The sequence below is a fragment of the Homo sapiens genome, chromosome 14, assembly GCF_000001405.40.
Source record: "Homo sapiens chromosome 14, GRCh38.p14 Primary Assembly".
NCBI classification, from domain to species: Eukaryota; Metazoa; Chordata; class Mammalia; order Primates; family Hominidae; genus Homo; species Homo sapiens.
In genome coordinates, this window is record NC_000014.9 from 59,649,635 (window position 1) to 59,672,306 (window position 22,672).

General features: G+C 38.7%; 1 protein-coding gene across 1 annotated transcript in view, besides 2 other annotated features; it reads right to left on the reverse strand.

Moving 5' to 3' along the window:
- The window catches only part of RTN1 (reticulon 1), a 274,801-nt gene that overhangs the window by 53,659 nt on the left and 198,470 nt on the right, over positions 1-22,672 (reverse strand). The window lies entirely within an intron of this gene.
- Positions 7,815-8,316: an enhancer, noted in NCBI's record as "H3K27ac hESC enhancer chr14:60124167-60124668 (GRCh37/hg19 assembly coordinates)". NCBI's record gives its function as "activates a minimal SCP1, AML or CMV promoter by ChIP-STARR-seq in primed H9 embryonic stem cells {active_cell/tissue: H9 hESC(primed)}" and the evidence as "EXISTENCE:reporter gene assay evidence [ECO:0000049][PMID:30033119]".
- Positions 8,317-8,816: an enhancer, noted in NCBI's record as "H3K27ac hESC enhancer chr14:60124669-60125168 (GRCh37/hg19 assembly coordinates)". NCBI's record gives its function as "activates a minimal SCP1, AML or CMV promoter by ChIP-STARR-seq in naive H9 embryonic stem cells {active_cell/tissue: H9 hESC(naive)}" and the evidence as "EXISTENCE:reporter gene assay evidence [ECO:0000049][PMID:30033119]".

A 22,672-nucleotide genomic window follows, 5' to 3' on the forward strand; every position in this document is an offset into this window, starting at 1 on the left:
AAACATTTGAAAAAAAGCTCATCATCACTGGTCATTATAGAAATGCAAATCAAAACCACAGTGAGATACCATCTCATGCCAGTGAGAATGGTGAGTATTAAAAAGTCTGGAAACAACAGATGCTGGTGAGGATGTGGAGAAATAGGAATGCTTTTACACTGTTGGTGGGAGTGTAAATTAGTTCAACCATTGTGGAACACAGTGTGGCAATTCCTCAAGGATTTAGAACCAGAAATACCATTAGATCCAGCAATCCCATTACTGGGTATATACCCAAAGGATTATAAATCATTCTACCATAAAGACATATGCACATGTATGTTTATTGCAGCATTATTTATAATAGCAAAGACTTGGAACCAACCCAAATGCCTGGCAATGATAGGCTGGATAAAGAAAATATGGCACATATACACCATGGAATACTATGCAGCCATAAAAAAGAATGAGGTCATGCCCTTTGCAGGGACTTGGATGAAGCTGGAAACCATCATCTGCAGCAAACTAACACAGAAACAGAAAACCAAACACTGCATGTTCTCACTCATAAGTAGGAGTTGAACAATGAGAACACATGGACACAGGGAGGGGAACATCACACACCAGGGCCTGTCAGATGTGCAGGGAAAGAAGAGGAAGAGCATTAGGACAAATATCTAATACATGCAGGGCTTAAAACCTAGATGATGGGTTGATAGGTGGAGCAAACCACCATGGCACATGTATACCTATGTAACAAACCTGCACATTCAGCACATGTATCCCAGAACTTAAAGTAAAACTAAAAAATAAAATAAAATGCATTGAAATAGGAAGACAGGAAGTCAAACTATTTTTTGTTTGCAAATGACATGATTCTTTATCTAGAAAATCCCATCATCTCAGCCCAAAAGCTCTTTAAGCTGATAAACAACTTCAGCAAAATCTCAGGATACAAAATCAATGTATAAAAATCACTAGAATTCCTGTACACCAATAACAGCCAAGCTGAGAGCCAAATCAGGAAAGCAATCCCATTCACAGTTGCCACAAAAAGAATAAAACACCCAGGAATACAGCTAACCAGGGATTGTAAGATCTCTACAATGAAAATTACAAAACACTGCTCAAAGAAGTCAGAGATAACACAAACAAATGGAAAAACATTCCATGCTCATGAATAGGAAGACTCAATATCATTAAAATGGCCATACTGGCCAAAGAAATTTATAGGTTCAAACCTATCTACCAATGACATTTTTCACCTAGGCAATACCACTCAAGACATAGGCATGGGGTCTGTAATCCCAGTACTTTGGGACTGAGTTGGATGGATCACCCGAGGTCATGAGTTTGAGACCAGCCTGGCTAACATGGCGAAACCCTGTCTCTACTAAAAAACTAGAAAAAAACTATTTTACATTAATAATTCATATGGAACCAAAAAAGAACCTGAAAAGCTAAGGCAATCACAAGCAAAAAGGACAAAGCTGGAGGTGTCACGTTACTCAACTTCAAACTATACTATGGGGCTATAATAATGAAAAAAGCATGGTCCTGGTACAAAAACAGACACATAGAGCCAATGGAACAGAACAGAGAGCTCAGAAATAAGGCCACACACCTACAACCATCTGATCTCTGACAAACTTGACAAAAACAAGCAATGGGGAAAGGATGCCCTATTCAATAAATAGTGCTGGAATAACTGGCTAGCCATATGCAGAAAACTGAAACTGGACCCCTTGCTTACACCATATACAAAAATCAACTCAAGGTGGATTAAAGACTTAAATGTAAAACCCAAAACTATAAAAACCCTGGAAGACAACCTAGGCAATACCACTCAAGACATAGGCATGGGGTCTGTAATTGCAGCACTTTGGGACCGAGTTGGATGGATCACCTGAGGTCAGGAGTTCGAGATCAGCCTGGCTAACATGGCAAAACCCTGTCTCTACTAAAAATACAAAAATTAGCTGAGCATGGTAGCAGGCACCTGTAATCCCAGCTGCTTGGGAGGTCGAGGCAGGAGAATTGCTTGAACCTGGGAGGTGGGCATTTCAGTGAGCCGAGATTGCACCACTGTACTCCAGCCTGGGTGACAGAGACTCCATCTCAAAACAAACAAACAAACAAACAACCCCCCCAAAAAAACCCAACATAGGTATGGGCAAAGATTTCATGATGAAATCACCAAAAGCAACCACGATAAATTGACAAATGGGATCTAATTTAATTTAAATTAAATTTGTTTCTGCACAGCAAAACAAACTATCAATAAACAGACAACCTACAGAATTGGAGAAAAATTTTGCAAACTATGCATCAAAGGTCTCATATCCACCATTTATAAGGAACTTAAACAAATTTACAAAACAACCCCATTGAAAAGTGGGCAAAGGACATGAACAGATACTTCTCAAAAGAAGACATAGATACAGTCAACAAGCATATGAAAAAAAACCTCAACATCACTGATCACTAGAGAAATACAAATCAAAACCACAGGGAGATACCATCCCACACCAGTCAGAATGACTATTATTAAAAAGTTCAAAAAAATAGCAGATGCTGGTGAGGTTGCAGAGAAAAGGGAACATTTATACACTGTTGGTGGAAGTGTAAATTAGTTCAACCATTGTGGAAGGCAGTGTAGTTATTCCTCAAAGAGCTAAAAACAACTACCACTTGACCCAGCAATCTCATTACTAGGTATATACCCAAAGGAATATAAATCATTCTACCATAATGAGACATGCACACTGTGTTCACGGCAGCACTATTCACAATTACAAAGACATGGAACCAACCTAAATGCCCATTAATGGCAGATTGGATAAAGAAAATATGGTACATATACATCATCAAATACTATGTAGCCATAAAAATGAACAAGCTCATGTCTTTTGCAGGATCACGAATGGAGCTGGAGGCCATTATTCTTAGCAAACTGATGCAGGAACAGAAAACCAAATACCATATGTTCTTACTTTTAAATTGGAGCTAAATGATGAGAACACATGGACACAAAGAGGGCAAAAAAGACACTGGGGCCTACTTGAGGGTGGGAGGAGGGAGAGGATCAGAAAAAATAACTATTGGGTACTAGGCTTAGTACCTGGCTCATGAAATAATCTGTAAGATAAGCTTAGCTATATAGCAAACCTGCACATGTACCCCCTGAATCTAAAATAAAAGTTAAAAAAACACAGAATTATTAAACAAAGATAGATAAATAAAAACAATCTAATCTGAAGAACTGAAAGAGAAAAAAGCCTAAAGAAAAACGAAAAAAGTACAGAGACTTGTGGTACAATATCAAGGGTATTAATGTAGGTATAATAGGAGTTCCAGAAAGAGAGAGGAGAAAGAAAGAAACAGAAAAAAAATTTAAGACATAATCCTGGAAAATGTCCCAAATTCTATTTAAAAATGGATTAGTCAACAGATATAAGAACACAACAAACCTCACGTAGTTTAAAGAGAGCCTCACCTAGACACACCTTTATCGAACACTTGAAATAAAAGACAGAAATTTGGAAAGGAGGAAGTAAAAATGACTCATTGCATGCAGGAGATTATTAATACTAATACCGACTGATTTCTCATTAGAAACAATGGAGACCAGAAAGAAGTTCCATGACATTCTGCATGCTGAGACAAATGCTGTCAACCAAGAATTTTATATCCAGAAAATTATCTAAAACTGAAGGTGAAATAAAGACATCCCCAGATAAACAAAGATAATTCATTGCTAGCAGACTCACTTTCGAAAAATTCTAAAGAAAATCTTTCAAGTAGAAAGGAAATTTCCCCCAGATAGCTGCTAAAATTCATAGAAACAAAGAATTCCAGAAATAGTAAATATTTTGGTGTATGTAATAGACTGCATAATATGTAGTTTCTGTTTTTTATTTATTTAAGAATGAGACTATTCTATATGTAAAAATATATATAAAGCAATAAATATAAGCAATAAAAATATAAGCAATAAAATAAAACTATATATATAAAGCAATAGTCATATGACTATATTATTGAATTTATAACATATATAGATAGCAATCTATTAAGAAAACAAAAATTATATATATACTCCCCTAATATACATACTCCCAGAATAATAGGTTCCCAAAATAAAAACAAAAATGGACAGAATTAAAGGGAGAAATAGATAATTCAACAATAATAGTTGAAAACTTCAATATCCCTCATTCAACAATGGATAGAACTAAACAGAATATTGTTATAACAAGGAAAGAGGAATTGAACAACATTTTATTTATTTATTTATTTATTTAGAGATGAATCTCGCTCTGTCACCCAGGCTGGAGTGCAGTGGCACAATATCGGCTCACTGCAGTGGTACAATCTCGGCTCACTGCAACCTCCACCTCCCAGTTTCAAGTGATTCTTCCCACTAAGAAAAACTCAGTTCCAGATGGTTTCACTAGTGAATTCTGCCAAATGTTTAAAAAGAATTAACAGCAGTACTTCACAAATTCTTCCACAAAGAAGAGGAGGAGGGGCTGGACGCAGTGGCTCATGCCTGTAATCCTAGTGCTTTGGGAGGCCAAGGCGGGTGGATCACCTGAGGTCGGGAGTTCGAGAACAGCCTGGCCAATGTGGCGAAACCCCGTCTCTACTAAAAATACAAAAAAACAAGCCAGACATGGTGGCTCGTGCCTGTAGCCCCAGCTACTCAGGAGGCTGAGGCAGGAGAATTGTTTGAACCCGGGCAGGGGAGGTTGGCAGTGAGCCAAGATTGTGCCACGGCACTCCAGCCTGGGTGACAGAGCGAGACTCTGTCTCTGTGAAAAAAAAAAAAAAAGGAGGAGGGAAAATATCCCATCTCACTCTGTAAGGTCACTATTTCCCTGATGCTAAAATCAGAAAAAGTCATTATGAAAAAAAAAAAAACTACAGAGCAATATCTCTTATGAATATAGATGCCAAAATATTCAACAAAACTAACAAACTGAAGCCAGCAACATATAAAAAGGATACATCATGATTAGGTGGGATTTGTTCCAGGGTAAAACAATGAATGTAATATATCATATTAATAAAATTAAGGACAAAAACCATACAATTATCTCAATGCAGAAAAAAAATTGAGAAATCCAATGCCCTTTCATGTTAAAAACGACAACAAGAACAACAGTATTAAACACTAAGAACAGTAGAAAACTTCTGTAACTTGATAAAGGGAATCTCCAAAAACACTCATGGCAATTATGATATTTAATGGTGAAAGATTGGAAGATTTTCTCCTAATATCTGGAACAAGACAAAGATTGTCTATTCTCACAACTTCTGTTCAGTACTGTGGAGGGTCTAGCTAGGGCAATGAAACAAGAAAAAGAAATGAAAGCCATTGACATTGAAAATGAAGAAGTAAAACTATCTCTATCTGCACACAAAATGATATTGTATGTAGAAACTTCTAAGGAATCCACACAAAACGATTTAGAGGTAATACATCCAGCAGTTTACAGAATACAAAGTTAATATACAATACTCAACTGTATATCTATACACTAGCAGTGAACAATAAAAAATGAAATTAAGAAAACGATTCCACTTTCAATAGCATAAGAAGGAATAAAATACTTAGGAATAAATTTAACAAAAGATGAGCAAAAGTCATACCCTGACAACTACAAGATACTGTTGAAAGAAATTAGAGAATACCTAATTAAATGAAATGACTTTTTTTGTTCATAGATTGAAAGATTTGACATTGTTAACATGGCAGTATTCCTGAAATAAATCTGTAGATTCAAACAATCCCTGTCAAAATGTCATTTAGTTTATTGTTTGTTTTGTGTTGTTTTCAGAAATTGACAACGGGATCCTAAAATTCATGTAGAGATGCAAGGGACTCAGAATAAACAAAATAATCTTGAAAAAGGACAAAGTTGTAGGCCTCATACTCCTTGGTTTCAAAATTTACTACCATGCTACAATGATCAAGACAGGGTGGTGGTAGTGGCATAAGGCCAGACATATAGATCAATGGAACAGAATCAAGAGTCTAGAATTAAACCATCACATATATGGTCAACTGATTTTTAACAAGGGTGCCAAGACCATTCAGTGGGGGAGAGAATTTTCTGTATTTTCAACAGCAGTGTATTTTCAACAACAGTCCTGGGACGACTGGATATGAACAAGAACAAATTTGGACCTCTGCCTTACACCATACACAAAAATTAACTCAAAATAGATGAAAGACCAAATATAAGACATAAAACTAGAAAATTCTTCAAAGAAAACAAAGGCATAATCTTCAAGACCCACACAAAAACTTGGATACGAACATTCACAGAAGCATTGTTCATGACAGTCACAAATTGAAAACAACTAAAATATCCATCAGTTAATGAATGGACAAAAAAATGGAGTATATCCATACAATGGAATATTTTTCAGCCATAAAAAGGAAGGAAGTATTTTGAATGAATGAACCTTGAAAACATTATGCTAGGAGAAAGAAGCTGGATATACAGGTTGCATGTTGTATGATTCCACTTATATGAAATGTCAAGACAAGGCAAGTTTATAAAGATGGAAAGCAGACTAGGAGCTGGGAGGTGGGGGGAATGAGAAATGACTGCTAATGGTTACAGGGTTTCTTTGGGGGGTAATGAAAATGTTTTGAAATCACATAACTGCATAACTTTGTGAATATGCTAAAAACTACTGAACTTTTAAAAGGGTATGTTTTATGGTATATAAATTGTATGTTAATTAAAAAGAAATATGGAAGAAAAAAATTGGAATAAGATTCCTCCTCCAGGTGGCTGCAGTGCTGCATCTCAACACAAGGCTTGGTGAACAGAGTGAGCCGGAGTCAAGCTTCACTTGCCATCTTGGCCAGGGACTCTTGTCAGGGGCACATATACATACAGGTTAATGGAACAGAATCGACAATCTAGAATTGGCAGCTTTACATGGTCACTTGGATTGCTTCTTAGCCCTCCCTCTAGGCCAGCCTGTCCTCTGTCTCAGCCTCTGATCACAGTACAACTCCTTAGCTCGGGCCATGATTCCTCTCTGGAACTCCCTGGCAACCTGAATTTATTGCTGTCCCTTTCCTGGTCCTCCTGTCCTATACATCTCTCAGAATGTTCCCTGCTGGTCTGCCCAAGTACATAACTTGAAGTGGTTTCTGCAGTCTTCACATTTCCACCAAACACAGGCATGACTGCATTTGCAGACTTTTTAAACTTACTAGGAATTCAGTTCCTCAGACTTCTGCTCCTTGCACATCTCTGCATTCTACAGCAGTTCTAGATTTTCTCTTTCTTGTCTTACCACCTATCAAGTGGATGACTCACAGGAAATTAGCATGATCCCCACTTTTATTTTTTTCAAGCACATATGAAACATTTCATGCTTATAGCAAAATAAAAAACAAAACCAAAAGATATAATACCTAATCCACAAATAGCTGGAAAAAGGAAAGGTTGTGAATATCAAACAGTGCACAAAAAGTCACAAAACAGGCCAGGCACGGTGGCTCACACCTGTAATCCCAGCACTTTGGGAGGCCAAGGCAGGTGAATCACCTGAGGTCAGGAGTTAGAGACCAGCCTGGCCTACATGGTGAAACCCTGTCTCTACTAAAAATACAAAAATTAGCTGGGCATGGTGGCACATGCCTGTAATCACAGCTACTGGGGAAGCCGAGGCAGGAGAATCACTTGAACCCAGGAAGCTGAGGTTGCAGTGAGCCGAGACTGCGCTACTGCACTGCAGCCTGGGTGAAAGAGTGAGACTCTGTCTCAACAAAACAAAACAAAACAAAACAAAAAAGGGTGTATGGCTGGCAAGATGGCCTAATAGGAACAGCTCTGGTCTGCAGCTCCCAGTGAGATCAACACAGAAGGTGGGTGATTTCTGCATTTCCAACTGAGGTACCTGGCTCATCTCACTGGGACTGGTTAGACAGTGGGTGCAGCCCATGGAGAGAGAGCAGAATCAGGGTGGGGCCTTGCCTCACCCAGGAAGTGCAAGGGGTCAGGGAACTCCCTCCCCTAGCCAAGGGAAGCCATGAGGGACTGTGCCATGAGGAATGGTGCATTCTGGCCCAGAAACTACACTTTTCCCATGGTCTTTGCAACCCGCAGACCAGGAGATTCCCTCGGGTACCTACAGCACCAGGGCCATGGGTTTCAAGCACAAAACTGGACAGCCATTTGGGCAGACACCGAGCTAGCTGCAGGAGTTTTTTTTCATACCCCAGTGGCACATGGGAAACCAGCCAGACAGAACCATTCACTGCCCTGGAAAGGGGGATGAGGCCAGGGAGCCAAGTGGCCTAGCTCAGCAGATCTGACCCCCAAGGAGCCCAGCAAGCTAAGATTTCCTGGCTTGAAATTCTCATTGCGAGCACAGCAGTCTGAAGTCGACCTGGGACGCTTCAGGTTGGTGGGGGGAGGGGCATCCGCCATTACTGAGGCTTGAGTATGTGGTTTCCCCCTCACAGTGTAAACAAAGCCGAGCCTCGGGGAAGTTCAAAATGGGCAGAGCCCACTGCAGCTTAGCAAAGCCACTGTAGACGGACTGCCTCTCTAGATTACTCCTCTCTGGGCATGGCATCTCTGAAAGAAAGACAGCAGCCCCAGTCAGGGGCTTATAGATAAAACTCCCAGTTCCCTGCAACAGAGCACCTGGGAGAAGGGGTGGCTGTGGGAGCAGCTTCAGCAGACTTAAATGTTCCTGCCTTCTGGCTCTAAAGAGAGCACAGTGCTCCAGCTCTGCTAAGGGACAGACTGCCTGCTCAAGTGGGTCCCTGACCCCTGTGTCTCCTGAATGGGAGACACCTCCAGCAGGGGTCAACAGACACCTCATACAGGAAAGCTCCAGCTGGCATCTGGTGGGTGCCCCTCTGGGACGAAGCTTCCAGAGGAAGGAACAGGCAGCAATCTTTGCTGCTCTGCAGCCTCCACTGGTGATACCCAGGCAAACAGGGTCTGGAGTGGACCTCCAGAAAATTCCAGCAGACTTGCAGCAGAGGGGCCTGTTAGAAGGGAAGCTAACAAACAGAAAAGTATAGCATCAACATCAACAAAAAGGACGTCCACACAAAAACTCCATCCGATGGTCACCAACATCAAAGACCAAAGGTAGATGAATCCACGAAGATGAGGAAAAACCAGCACAAAATGGCTGAAAATTCCAAAAACCAGAATGCCTCTTCTCCTCCAAAGGATCACAACTCTTGGCCAGCAAAGGAACAAAACTGGACAGACAATGAGTTTGACAAATTGACAGAAGTAGGCTTCAGAAGGTGGGTGATAACAAAATCCTCTGAGCTAAAGAAGCATGTTCTAACCCAATGCAAGGAAGCTAAGAACCGTGAAAAAAGGTTAGACGAATTGTTAACTAGAATAACCAGTTTACAGAAGAACATAAATGACCTGATGGAGCTGAAAAACACAGCAAGAGAACTTCGTGAAGCATACACAAGTATCAATAGCCAAACTGATCAAGTGGAAGAAAGGATATCAGAGATTGAAGATCAACTGAATGAAATAAAGTGTGAAGACAAGATTAGAGAAAAAAAAAAAGAATGAAAAGGAATGAACAAAGCCTCTAAGAAATATGGGACTATGTGAAAACATCAAACCTACATTTGATTGGTGTACCTGAAAGTGACAGGGAGAATGGAACCAAGTTGGAAAACACTCTTCAGGGTATTATCCAGGAGATCTTCCTCAACCTAGCAAGGCAGGCCAACATTCAAATTCAGGAACCACAGAGAACACCACAAAGATAATTCTTGAGAAGAGCAACCCCAAGACACATAATTGTCAGGTTCATCAAGGTTGAAATGAAGGAGAAAATGTTAAGGGCAGCCAGAGAGAAAAGTCGGGTTACCCAGAAAGGGAAGCCCATCAGACTAGCAGTGGATCTCTCAGCAGAAACCCCACAAGCCAGAAGAGAGTGGGGACCAATATGCAACATTCTCAAAGAAAAGAATTTTCAACCCAGAATTTCATATCCAGCCAAACTAAGCTTCATAAGTGAAGAAGAAATAAAATACTTTACAGACAAGCAAATGCTGAGACATTTTGTCACCACCAGGCCTGCCTGACAACAGCTCCTGAAGGAAGCACTAAATGTGGAAAGGAAAAACCAGTACCAGCCACTGCAAAAACATACCAAATTGTAAAGACCATCGACACTATGAAGAAACTGCATCAACTAATGGGCAAAATAACCAGCTAACATCATAATGACAGGATCAAATTCACATATAACAATATTAACCTTAAATGTAAATGGGCTAAATGCCCCAATTAAAAGACACAGACTGGCAAATTGGATAAAGAGTCGAAACCCATCACTGTGCTGTATTCAGGAGACTCATCTCACATGCAAAGACACACATAAGCTTAAAATAAAGGGATGTAGGAATATTTACCAAGCAAATGGAAAGCAAAACAAGCAAGGGTTGCAATCCTAGTCTCTGATAAAACAGACTTTAAACCAACAAAGATCAAAAGAGACAAAGAAGGCCATTACATAATGGTAAATGGATCAATGCAACAAGAAGAGCTGACTATCCTAAATATATATGCACCCAATACAAGAGCACCCAGATTCATAAAACAAGTTCTTAGAGACCTACAAAGAGACTTAGACTCCCACACAATAATTGTGGGAGACTTTAACACCCCACTGTCAATATCAAACAGATCAATGACACAGAAAATTAACAAGGATATTCAGGACTTGAACTTAGTTCTGGACCAAGCAGACCTAATAGATATCTACAGAACTCTCCACCCCAAATCAACAGAATATACATTTTTCTCTGTACCACATTGCACTTATTCTAAAATTGACCATGTAATTGGAAGTAAAACACTCTTCAGCAAATGCAAAAGAACAGAAATCATAACAAACAGTCTCTCAGACCATGGTGCAATCAATTAGAACTCAGGATTAAGGAACTCAAAACCACACAACTACATGGAAACTGAACAACTTGCTCCTGAATGACTACTGGGTAAATAATGAAATTAAGGAAGAAATAAATAAGTTATTTGAAACCAATGAGAACACAGACACAATGTACCAGAATCTCTCGGACACAGCTAAAGCAATGTTTAGAGGGAAATTTATAGCACTAAATTCCCAAAAAAGAAACCAGGAAAGACCTAAAATTTACACCCTAACATCAAAATGAAAAGAAACAGAGAAGCAAGAACAAACAAATTCAAAAGCTAGCAGAAGACAAGAAATAACTAAGATCAGAGCACAACTGAAGGAGACAGGGACATGAAAAACCCTTCAAAAAACCAAAGAATCCAGGAGCTGTTTTTTTTGAAAATATAAACAAAATAGATAAGACTGCTAGCCAGACTAATAAAGAAGAAAAAAGAGAAAAATCAAATAGACACAATAAAAAATGATAAAGGGTAGGTCACCACTGATCCCACAGAAATACAAACTACTGTCAGAGAATACTATAAACACCTCTACACAAATAAATGAGAAAATCTAGAAGAAATGGATAAATTCCTGGACACATACACCCTCCCAAGGCTAAACCAGAAAGAAGTTGAGTCCCTGAACAGACCAATATCAAGTTGTGAAATTCAGGCAGTAATTAATAGCCTACCAACCAAAAAAAAAAAAAAAAAAAAGCCCAGGACCATAAGGATTCACAGCCGAATTCTATTCGAGGTATAAAGAGGAGCTGGTACCATTCCTTCTGAAACTATTCCAAACAACAGAAAAAGAGGGAATCCTCCCTAACTCATTTTATGAGGCTAGCATCATCCTGATAACAAAACCTGGCAGAGACACAACAAAAAAGGAAAATTTGAGGCCAATATCCCTGATGAACATCAATGCAAAAATCCTCAATAAAATACTGGCAAACCAAATCCAGCAGCACATCAAAAAGCTTATCCACCATGATCAAGTCAGCTTCATCACTGGGATGCAAGGCTGGTTCAACATATGCAAATCAATAAATGTAATCCATCACATAAACAGAACCAACAACAAAAACCACATGATTATTTCAATAGATGAAGAAAAGGCTTTCGATAAAATTCAACACCCCATTCATGCTAAAAACTCTCAATAAACTAGGTACTGAAGGAACGTACCTCAAAATAATAAGCTATTTATGACAAACCCACAACCAATATCATACTGAATGGGCAAAATCCCGAAGCATTCCCTTTGAAAACTGGCACAAGACAAGGATGCCCTCTCTCAGCACTCCTATTCAACATAGTGTTGGAAGTTCTGGCCAGGGCAATCAGGCAAGAGAAAGAAATAAAGCGTATTCAATTAGGAAAAGAGGAAGTCAAATTGTCCCTGTTTGCAGATGACATGATTGTATATTTAGAAAACCCCACTGTCTCAGCCCAAAATCTCCTTAAGTTGATAAGCAACTTGATAAGCAACTTCAGTAAAATCTCAGGATACAAAATCAATGTGCAAAAATCACAAGCATTCTTTTTATTTTATTTTTTTATTTTTTACATTTTGGAGTGAAATCCAGCTTTCTTTTTTCTTTTTTTTTTATTATACTTTAAGTTCTAGGGTACATGTGCACAATGTGCAGGTTTGTTACATATGTATACACGTGCCATGTTGGTGTGCTGCACCCATTAACTCGTCATTTACATTACGTATATCTCCTAATGCTATCCTTCCCCCCTCCCCCCACCCCACAACAGGCCCCGGTGTGTGATGTCCCCCTTCCTGTGTCCAAGTGTTCTCATTGTTCAATTCCCACCTATGAGTGAGAACATGCGGTGTTTGTTTTTTTGTCCTTGTGATAGTTTGCTGAGAATGATGGTTTCCAGCTTCATCCATGTCCCTACAAAGGACATGAACTCATCATTTTTTATGGCTGCATAGTATTCCATGGAGTATATGTGCCACATTTTCTTAATCTAGTCTATCATTGTTGGACATTTCGGTTGGTTCCAGGTCTTTAAAAATCACAAGCATTCTTATATGCCAATAATAGACAAACAGAGAACCAAATCATGAGTGAACTCCCATTCACAATTGCTACAAAGAGAATAAAATACCTAGGAATACAACTTAAAAGTGATGTGAAGGACCTCTTCAAGGAGAACTACAAACCACTGCTCAATGAAATAAGAGAGGACACATACAAATGGAAAAACACTCCATGCTCATGGATAGGAAGAATCAATATCATGAATATGGCCATACTGCCCAAAGTAATTTATGGATTCAATGCTATCCTCATCAAGCTACCATTGACTTTCTTCACCGAATTAGAAAAAACTACTTTAAAGTTCACACAGAGCCTAAAAAGAGCCCATATAGCCAAGACAATCCTAAGTAAAAAGAACAAAGCTGGAGGCATCATGCTACCTGACTTCAAACTATACTACAAGGCTACAGTAACCAAAACAGCATGGTACTGCTACCAAAACAGATATATAGACTAATGGAACAGAACAGAGAACTCAGAAATAACACCGCACATCTACAACCATCTGATTTTGACAAACCTGACAAGAACAAGCAGTGGGGAAAGGATTCCCTATTTAATAAATGGTGCTGGGAAAACTGGCTAGCCACATGTAGAAAACTGAAACTGGACTCCTTCCTTATACATTATACAAAAGTTAACTCGAGATGGATTAAAGACTTAAATGTAAGACCTAAAACCATGAAAACACTAGAAGAAAACCTAGGACATAGGCTTGGGCAAAGACTTAAACATAAGACCTAAACCATAAAAACCCTAGAAGAAAACCTAGGCAATACCATTCAGGACATAGGCATGGGCAAAGACTTCATGACTAAAACACCAAAAGCAATGGCAACAAAAGCAAAAATTGACAAATGGGATCTAATTAAACTGACAGACTTCTGTACAGCAAAAGAAACTATCATCAGTGTGAACAGGCAATCTACAGAATAGGAGAAAATTTTTGCAATCTGTCCATCTCATAAAGGGCTAATATCCAGAATCTACAAGGAACTTAAACAAATTTACAAGAAAAAAAAAACCATCAAAAAGTGGGCAAAGGATATGAACAGACACTTCTCAATAGAAGACATTTATGCAGCCAACAAACATATGAAAAAAAGCTCAGCATCACTGGTCATTAGAGACATGCAAATCAAAACCACAATGAGATACCATCTCATGCCAGTTAGAATGGTGATCATTAAAATGCTGGATGCTGGAGAGGATGTGGAGAAATAGGAATGCTATTATACTGTCAGTGGGAGTTTAAATTAGTTCAGCCATTGTGGAAGATAGTGTGGCGATTCCTCAAGGATCTAGAACCAGAAACATCATTTGACCCAGCAATCTCATTACTGAGTATATACCCAAAGGATTATAAATCATTCTACTCTAAACACACATGCACACGTATGTTTATTGCAGCACTATTCACAATAGCAAAGACTTGGAACCAACCGAAATGCCCAGCAATGATACGCTGGATAAAGAAAATGTGGCATATATACACCATGGAATACTATGTAGCCACAGCAAAGGACGAGTTCATATCCTTTGCAGGGACATGGATGAAGCTGGAAACCATCATTCTCGGCAAACTAACACAGGAACAGAAAACCAAACACTGCATGTTCTCACTCATAAGTGGGAGTTGAACGATGAGAACACATGGACACAGGGAGGGGAACATCACATATCGGGGCCTGTCAGGTGGTGGGGGGAAAGGGAAGTGATAGCATTAGGAGAAATACCTAATGTAGATGACGGGTTGATGGGTGCAGCAAACCACCATGGCACGTATATACCTATGTAACAAACTTGCATGTTCTGCATATGTATCCCATTACTTCAAGTATAATAAAAAAAGTCACAAAATAACCACAATATGATAAAATTAAATGCATCTGAGGCAACTAACATTATTTTTTATTTAATAGAGTCTTGAGAAATATAACTCAATTAAGAAATCAGTAACATAGAATATTTAAACCTATGCCCATGTGTATTAACTATATTTTGTATTTTCTGTATCATATGATGTTTTGACATCTTCAGAGGCCTGCATGTATCAACAGTTTGTTCCTTTTTATTTATTTTTTTCTGAGTAACATTCCATGTTATGGATGTACCATGTATTGTTTCATCATTCACCTGCTGAAGAAAGCTTCTGACTATTATAACTGCTGTGAACATCTGTGTATAATTTTTTTTTGTGCAAGCGTAAGTTTTTATTTCCCTGGGATAAATGCCAGAGTGCAATTACTGAGTCACAGGATAATTATATGTTTCATTATAGAAACTATCCAACTTTTTTGCAAAGTGGCTGTACAACTTTATATTCCCACCAGCAATGAATGAGTGATCCAGTATCTCCACATTCTTGCCGCATTTAGTGTTGCCACTGCTTATGACTTTAGCCATTCTGTTAATGTTGTTAGTCTCCTTGTGGTTTTAGTTTACATTGTCTCTGATGTTATTTCTCATGCTTACTTAACATCTATATATCCTCTTTGGTGAAATGTCTGCTTATGTCAGGTTCACCAAGGTTGAAATGAAGGAAAATGTGTTAAGGGCAGCCAGAGAGAAAGGTCAAGTTACCCACAAAGGGAAGCCCAGCAGACTAACAGCGGATCTCTCGGCAGAAACTCTACAAGCCAAAAGACAGTGGGGGCCAATATTCAACATTCTTAAAGAAAAGAATTTTCAACCCAGAATTTCATAACCAGCCAAACTAAGCTTCATAAGTGAAGGAGAAATAAAATCCTTTACAGACAAGCAAATGCTGAGAGATTTTGTCACCACCAGGCCTGCCTTACAAGAGCTCCTGAAGGAAGCATTAAACATGGAAAGAAACAACCGGTACCAGCCACTGCAGAAACATCCCAAATTGTAAAGACCATTGATGCTATGAAGAAACTGCATCAATTAACGGGCAAAATAATCAGCAAACATCGTAGTGAGAGGATCAGATTCACATATAACAATATTAACCTTAAATGTAAATGGGCTAAATGCCCCAATTAAAAGACACAGACTGGCAAATTGGATAAAGAGTCAAGACCCATCAGTGTGCTGTATTCAAGAGACCCATTTCACATGCAAAGACACACATAAGCTTAAAATAAAGGGATGGAGGAAGACCTACCAAGCAAATGGAAAGCAAAAAAAAGCAGGGGTTGCAATCCTAGTCTCTGATAAAACAACTTTAAACCAACAAAGATCAAAAGAGACAAAGAAGGCCATTATATAATGGTAAAGGGATCAACGCAACAAGAAGAGCTAACTATCCTAAATATATATGCACCAAATACAGGAGCACCCAGATTCATAAAGCAAGTCCTTAGAGACCTACAAAGAGACTTAGACGCCCACGCAATAATAATGGGAGACTTTAACACCCCACTGTCAATATTAGACAGATCAACCAGACAGAAGGTTAACAAGGATATCCAGGACCTGAACTCAGCTCTGCAACAAGTAGACCTACTAGACATCTACGGAAAGCTCCACTCCAAATCAACAGAATATACATTATTCTCAGCATCACATCACACTTATTCTAAAATTGACCACATAATTGGAAGTAATGCACTCCTCAGCAAATGTAAAAGAACAGAAATCACAACAAACTGTCTCTCAGACCAGAGTGCAATCAATTACAACTCAGGATTAAGAAACTCACTCAAAACCACACAACTACATGGAAACTGAACAACTTGCTCCTGAATGACTACTGGGTAAATAACAAAATGAAGGCAGAAATAAAGATGTTCTTTGAAACCAATGAGAACAAAGACACAATGTACCAGAATCTCTGGGACACATTTAAAGCAGTGTGTAGAGGGAAATTTATAACCCTAAATGTCCACAAGAAAAAGCAGGAAAGATCTAAAATCGACACTCTAACATCACAATTAAAAGAACTAGAGAAGCAAGAGCAAACAAATTCAAAAGCTAGCAGAAGACAAAAAATAACTAAGATCAGAGCACAGCTGAAAGAGATAGAGACACAGAAAACCCTTCAAAAAAAATCAATGAATCCAGGAGATGGTTTTTTCAAAAGATCAACAAAATTGATAGACCGCTAGCAAGACTAATAAAGAAGAAAAGAGAGAAGATTCAAATAGATGCAATAAAAAATGATAAAGGGGATATCACCACCAATCCCACAGAAATACAGACTATCATCAGAGAATACTAAACACCTCTACACAAATAAACTAGAAAATCTAGAAGAAATGGATAAATTCCTGCACACATACACCCTCCCAAGACTAAACCAGGAAGAACTTGAATCTCTGAATAGACCAATATCAAGTTCTGAAATTGAGGCAGTAATTAATAGCCGACCAACCAAAAAAAAAAAAAAAAAAAAAAAAAGCCCAGGACCATACGGATTCACAGCTGAATTCTACCAGAGGTACAAAGAGGAGCTGGTACCATTCCTTCTGAAACTATTCAAATCAATAGAAAAAGAGGGAATCCTCCCTAACTCATTTTATGAGGCTAGCATCATCCTGATAACAAAACCTGGCAAAGACACAACAAAAAAAGAGAATTTTAGACCAATATCCCTGATGAACATCAATGTGAAAATCCTCAATAAAATACTGGCAAACCAAATCCAGCAGCATATCAAAAAGCTTATCCACCACGATCAAGTCGGCTTCATCACTGGGATGCAAGGCTGGTTCAACATATGCAAATCAATAAATGTAATCCATCACATAAACAGAACCAACAACAAAAACCACATGATTATCTCAATAGGTGCAGAAAAGGCCTTTGACAAAATTCAACAGCCTTTCATGCTAAAAACTCTCAATCAACTAGGTATTGATGGAACATACCTCAAAATAATAAGAGATATTTTTGACAGACCCATAGCCAATATCTTACTGAATGGGCAAAAACGGGAAGCATCCCCTTTGAAAACTGGCACAAGACAAGGATGAGCTCTCTCACCACTCCTATTCAACATAGTGTTGGAAATTCTGGCCAGGGCAATCAGGCAAGAGAAATAAATAAACGGTATTCAATTAGGAAATGAGGAAGTCGAATTGTCCCTGTTTGCAGATGACATGACTGTATATTTAGAAAACCCCACTGTCTCAGCCCAAAATCTCCTTAAGTTGATAAGTAACTTCAGCAAAGTCTCAGGATACAAAATCAATGGGCAAAAATCACAAGCATTCCTCTACACCATTAGCAGACAAACAGAGAGCCAAATCATGAGCCATTCACAATTGCTACAAAGAGAATAAAATACCTAGGAATCCAGCTTACAAGGGATGTGAAGGACCTCTTCAAGGAGAACTACAAACCACTGCTCAACGAAATAAAAGAGGACACGAACAAATGGAAGAATATTCCATGCTCATGGATAGGAAGAATCAATATGATGAAAATGGCCATACTGCCCAAAGTAATTTATAGATTCAATGTCATCCCCATCAAGCTAACATTGATTTTCTTCACAGAATTGGAAAAAACTACTTTAAAGTTCATATGGAACCAAAAAAGGGCCCACATTGCCAAGTGAATCCTACAGAAAAAGAACAAAGCTGGAGGCATCATGCTACCTGACTTCAAACTATACTACAAGGCTACAGTAACCAAGACAGCATGGTACTGGTACCAAAACAGATTTATAGACCAATGGAACAGAACAGAGGCCTCAGAAATAACACCGCACATCTACAACCATCTGATTTTGACAAACCTGACAAAAACAAGAAATGGGGACAGGATTCCCTATTTAATAAATGGTGCTGGGAAAACTGGCTAGCCACATGTAGAAAGCTGAAACTGTATCCCTTCCTTACACCTTATACAAAAATTAATTCAAGATGGATTAAAGACTGAAATGTTAGTCCTAAAACCATAAAAACCCTAGAAGAAATCCTAGGCAATACCATTCAGGACATAGGCATGGGCAAGGACTTCATGCCTAAAACACCAAAAGCAATGGCAACAAAAGCCAAAATTGACAAATGGGATCTAATTAAACTAAAGAGCTTCTGCACGACAAAAGAAACTACCATCACAGTGCACAGGCAACCTACAGAATCGGAGAAAATTTTTGCAATCTACCCATCTGACAAAGGGCTAATATCCAGAATCTACAAAGAATTCAAACAAATTTACAAGAAAAAAACCAAACAATCCCATCAAAAAGTGGGCAAAGGATATGAACAGACACTTCTCAAAAGAAGACATCTATGCAGCCAGTAGACACATGAAAAAATGCTCATCGTCACTGGTGATCAGAGAAATACAAATCAGAACCACAATGAGATGCCATCTCATGCCAGTTAGAATGGCAATCATTAAAAAGTCAGGAAACAACAGATGCTGGAGAGGATGTGGAGTAACAGGCACCCTTTTACACTCTTGGTGGGAGTGTAAATTAGTTCAACCACTGTGGAAGACAGTGTGGCGATTCCTCAAGGATCTAGAACTAGAATTACCATTTGACCCAGCAATCCCATTACTGGGTATATACCCAAAGGATTATAAATCATGCTGCTACAAAGTCATATGCACACATATGTTTATTGCAGCAATATTCCCAATAGCAAAGACTTGGAACCAACCCAAATGTCCATCAATGATAGACTGGATTAAGAAAATGTGGCACATATACACCATGGAATACTATGCAGCCATAAAAAAGGATGGGTTCATGTTCTTTGCAGGGACATGGATGGAGTTGGAAATCATCATTCTCTTCAAATTATCACAAGGACAGAAAATCAAACACTGCATGTTCTCACTCATAGATGGGAATTGAACAATGAGATCACTTGGACACAGGGCAGGGAACATCATACACCGGGGCCTGTCAGGGGGATGGGGGCCTGGGGGAGGGATAGCATTAGGAGAAATATCTAATTTAAATGATGAGTTGATGGATGCAGCAAATGAACATGGGGCATGTATACCTATGTATCAAACCTGCATGTTGTGCATATGTACCCTAGAACTTTAAGTATAATATAAAAAATAAAAAATAAAAAAAAGAACTGTTGCAGCCATCTTATGATCATGAGGAGATGATGATGAGGAATACTCTGTAAGTCTAGTGCCCTGGCACTAGAGCTCTGTCAAGTCACCTATGTCTCTGAGATCTCCTTGCTCTAAAGTTCTTATTAAGTGAGTAGTGAATAACCTTAAGGTTCACACTGCCGATGAGTGGATTTTCTGTCACTTGCAGCCAAAAGCATTTCTACTGTTAAACTCACTAAGGTTCAGTAGCACTGTTGTACCTCTTCCCTGGCCCCTTCATCATGCAGACTCCTTGTTCCAGAGCAACAAAATCTTCTGTCTCCATTTTTTTGCTCATTTCTCTCACCATGAATGAGTTAGACATTTTCCAATATTTTATTTGAAGGTCATCATTGATCACTTTGAAAGTGTGCAACGACAAATAGAATAACTAAATGAATGGGTTGCTATTGCAAAAATTGCCCAGTACATCAACATAACAGAAACATTCTCAATAAATCATCATAGAAGGGAAATACTAAGAATTTTGCAATAGTGCCTAGTGCAATAGTGTAGTGAGATAGTGTAAAGTTCCCCACTCAAAGTTTCCTTTGCAGAATGTGCATTAATAAGCAAGGACCAGAATTAGATTTAAAATAATGATCTCATTAAACATTTATAGCCCAGCAGTAAATTTTTGCAAACAAATGCAATTTTGCAAACCACTCTTAACTTATATAGAAGGAAATTAAAAAAATAATAATCTGAAAGCCCAGGAAGCTGCTGAAGCAGCACTGAAATTTCTTCTCAGCAAGACGCAACCTGAATCCACAAAATCAGAACTCTTGTGGTATAAAATAAAGTTAGAGCTCTGCTCCAAATATATTCTTATTTTTCTTTTAATGTAATCTAACTTTAGGTGAAGATGGTTTTAAAAAGTCTTGAAGATGGCAACGTGGACCTAAATATATTCAGAAAAACTCACATCTGATGTTAAACTTGAAGTGAAAAGAAGTTTGACCAATTCGGCACATGTTTTAACCAATCTCCTTCAACTATATGTGTCAGTACCTCCATAGCATATACTGGTCTCAGTCTCTTCACTTGCTCGAAGATGAAAAATATGCTGGAACAGGCTAAATAAGTGTTAATATAGTAACTCATTATGCCCAAAGAAGGTAAATGACATCCAGGTGTCATGATGGCTAGTATATTTTTGCATGTGTATTTTGAGCCATTTCAGAAGGTATCCTTGGACTCCTTCTATAACAGCAACATGGTTATTAACACATCTTTGAAAGCAATTCCCATTAAAATATGAGTAAATTGGGAAAGGTGTACATGTACAACATTCCTTTCAGGACTTTCTAATCTGAGCTACCACATGTAGTTAATAGCAGTGCCCTCACTGATACCACTATGACCATCCATCACTCCATCCTGTTGGTTTTAAGTAGTGGACTCTACAGATGCATAAACTGGCCCAGTCTTTGTGTGGGTACATATGGAAGTGTACATAGGGAGGAGGGAGGGTTGTTATGTAAGGTTTTTAAAGACAGTTTGTCTTGTAAAGACACATCAAAAAGTCATACTTGTGGAAAAAAAAGAGAAAATGTTGAGTCAACCTATTCTCTCTTTGAGCATTTAAAAAAATTATAGTTTTACCATATTTGTGGAAAAGGATTCTTTCTTCTTATTTTAAACCCCTATTAGCTATAGGCCCACGATCCAGAGTTCTTGAAGAAATTCTCCTCATTACTTCTTTTGCAACTGTCAGATAACATGGAAGGAAGATTACTTGTAACTCATATACAAACCAAAGAGCAGAGAAAAACATTCCACACTAAAAAGAATGAGTGATACCAACAATCGCACATATTAACATATACCAAATGATAGACACTGGACTAAGTGTTTCACATGGATTATTTTATTTAATCCTCACAACAGACTTACAAGGAAGGGCTGCTAATACTCAACCTTAGGTAACTTGACTACCCTCACAAAGCCCCTCAGTGGTAGAATCAAGTTTCAGACCCAGGTTTGCCTGGCTTCAGAGCACCAGGACACTTTACCACCTACTGACACTTTCTAACAACCACCCACTGTCTGTACCAGAGAAGCTGGGGCCAGGGCACACAAAGGATCTAAAGCTTTTGAACCTGAAAAGGCCAATGCTTAGGCGGGGAACAGCTCTAAGCTTCCCCCATATGTCCACTCTACAGAGCTGGACCTGGGCTCAGAAATCAATGCAGAGAGACGATATTGTACGTTTAATCTTTTGTCTTGTTTGGTCTTTGGCTACTTCCCACAAAACAAAAACAAGAAAGCCTGATATTATATTTCTGACATCTAGTTCCTGCTTTTCTCTTTCCTGAAATGGACACTATACAACCTAATGCCACAGTGATTAGGACACAATTAGTAGGAAGCACAAATGTTGAAAGTCTCTAAAATCAGCCTTGCCTTCTCTCTTGGCTTTAGGATGTGAATCTAGTCTGGTTAAGCTACAGGCAGGGAAGAGTGCCCTGGCTTTGCTACTTATCAGCCTTACTACTTTAGATGCCATTTGACCTCTTTGAGCTCAGGTTTGTCACCAGGAAAAATGAGACACTTGCTCACAACACATATGTAAATAGCCAGCAATTATGGTGGTCAGTAAATAGCAGCTGGTGTCCATTCAGCAGAAAGTGAAATTAGACAGTGCACCTC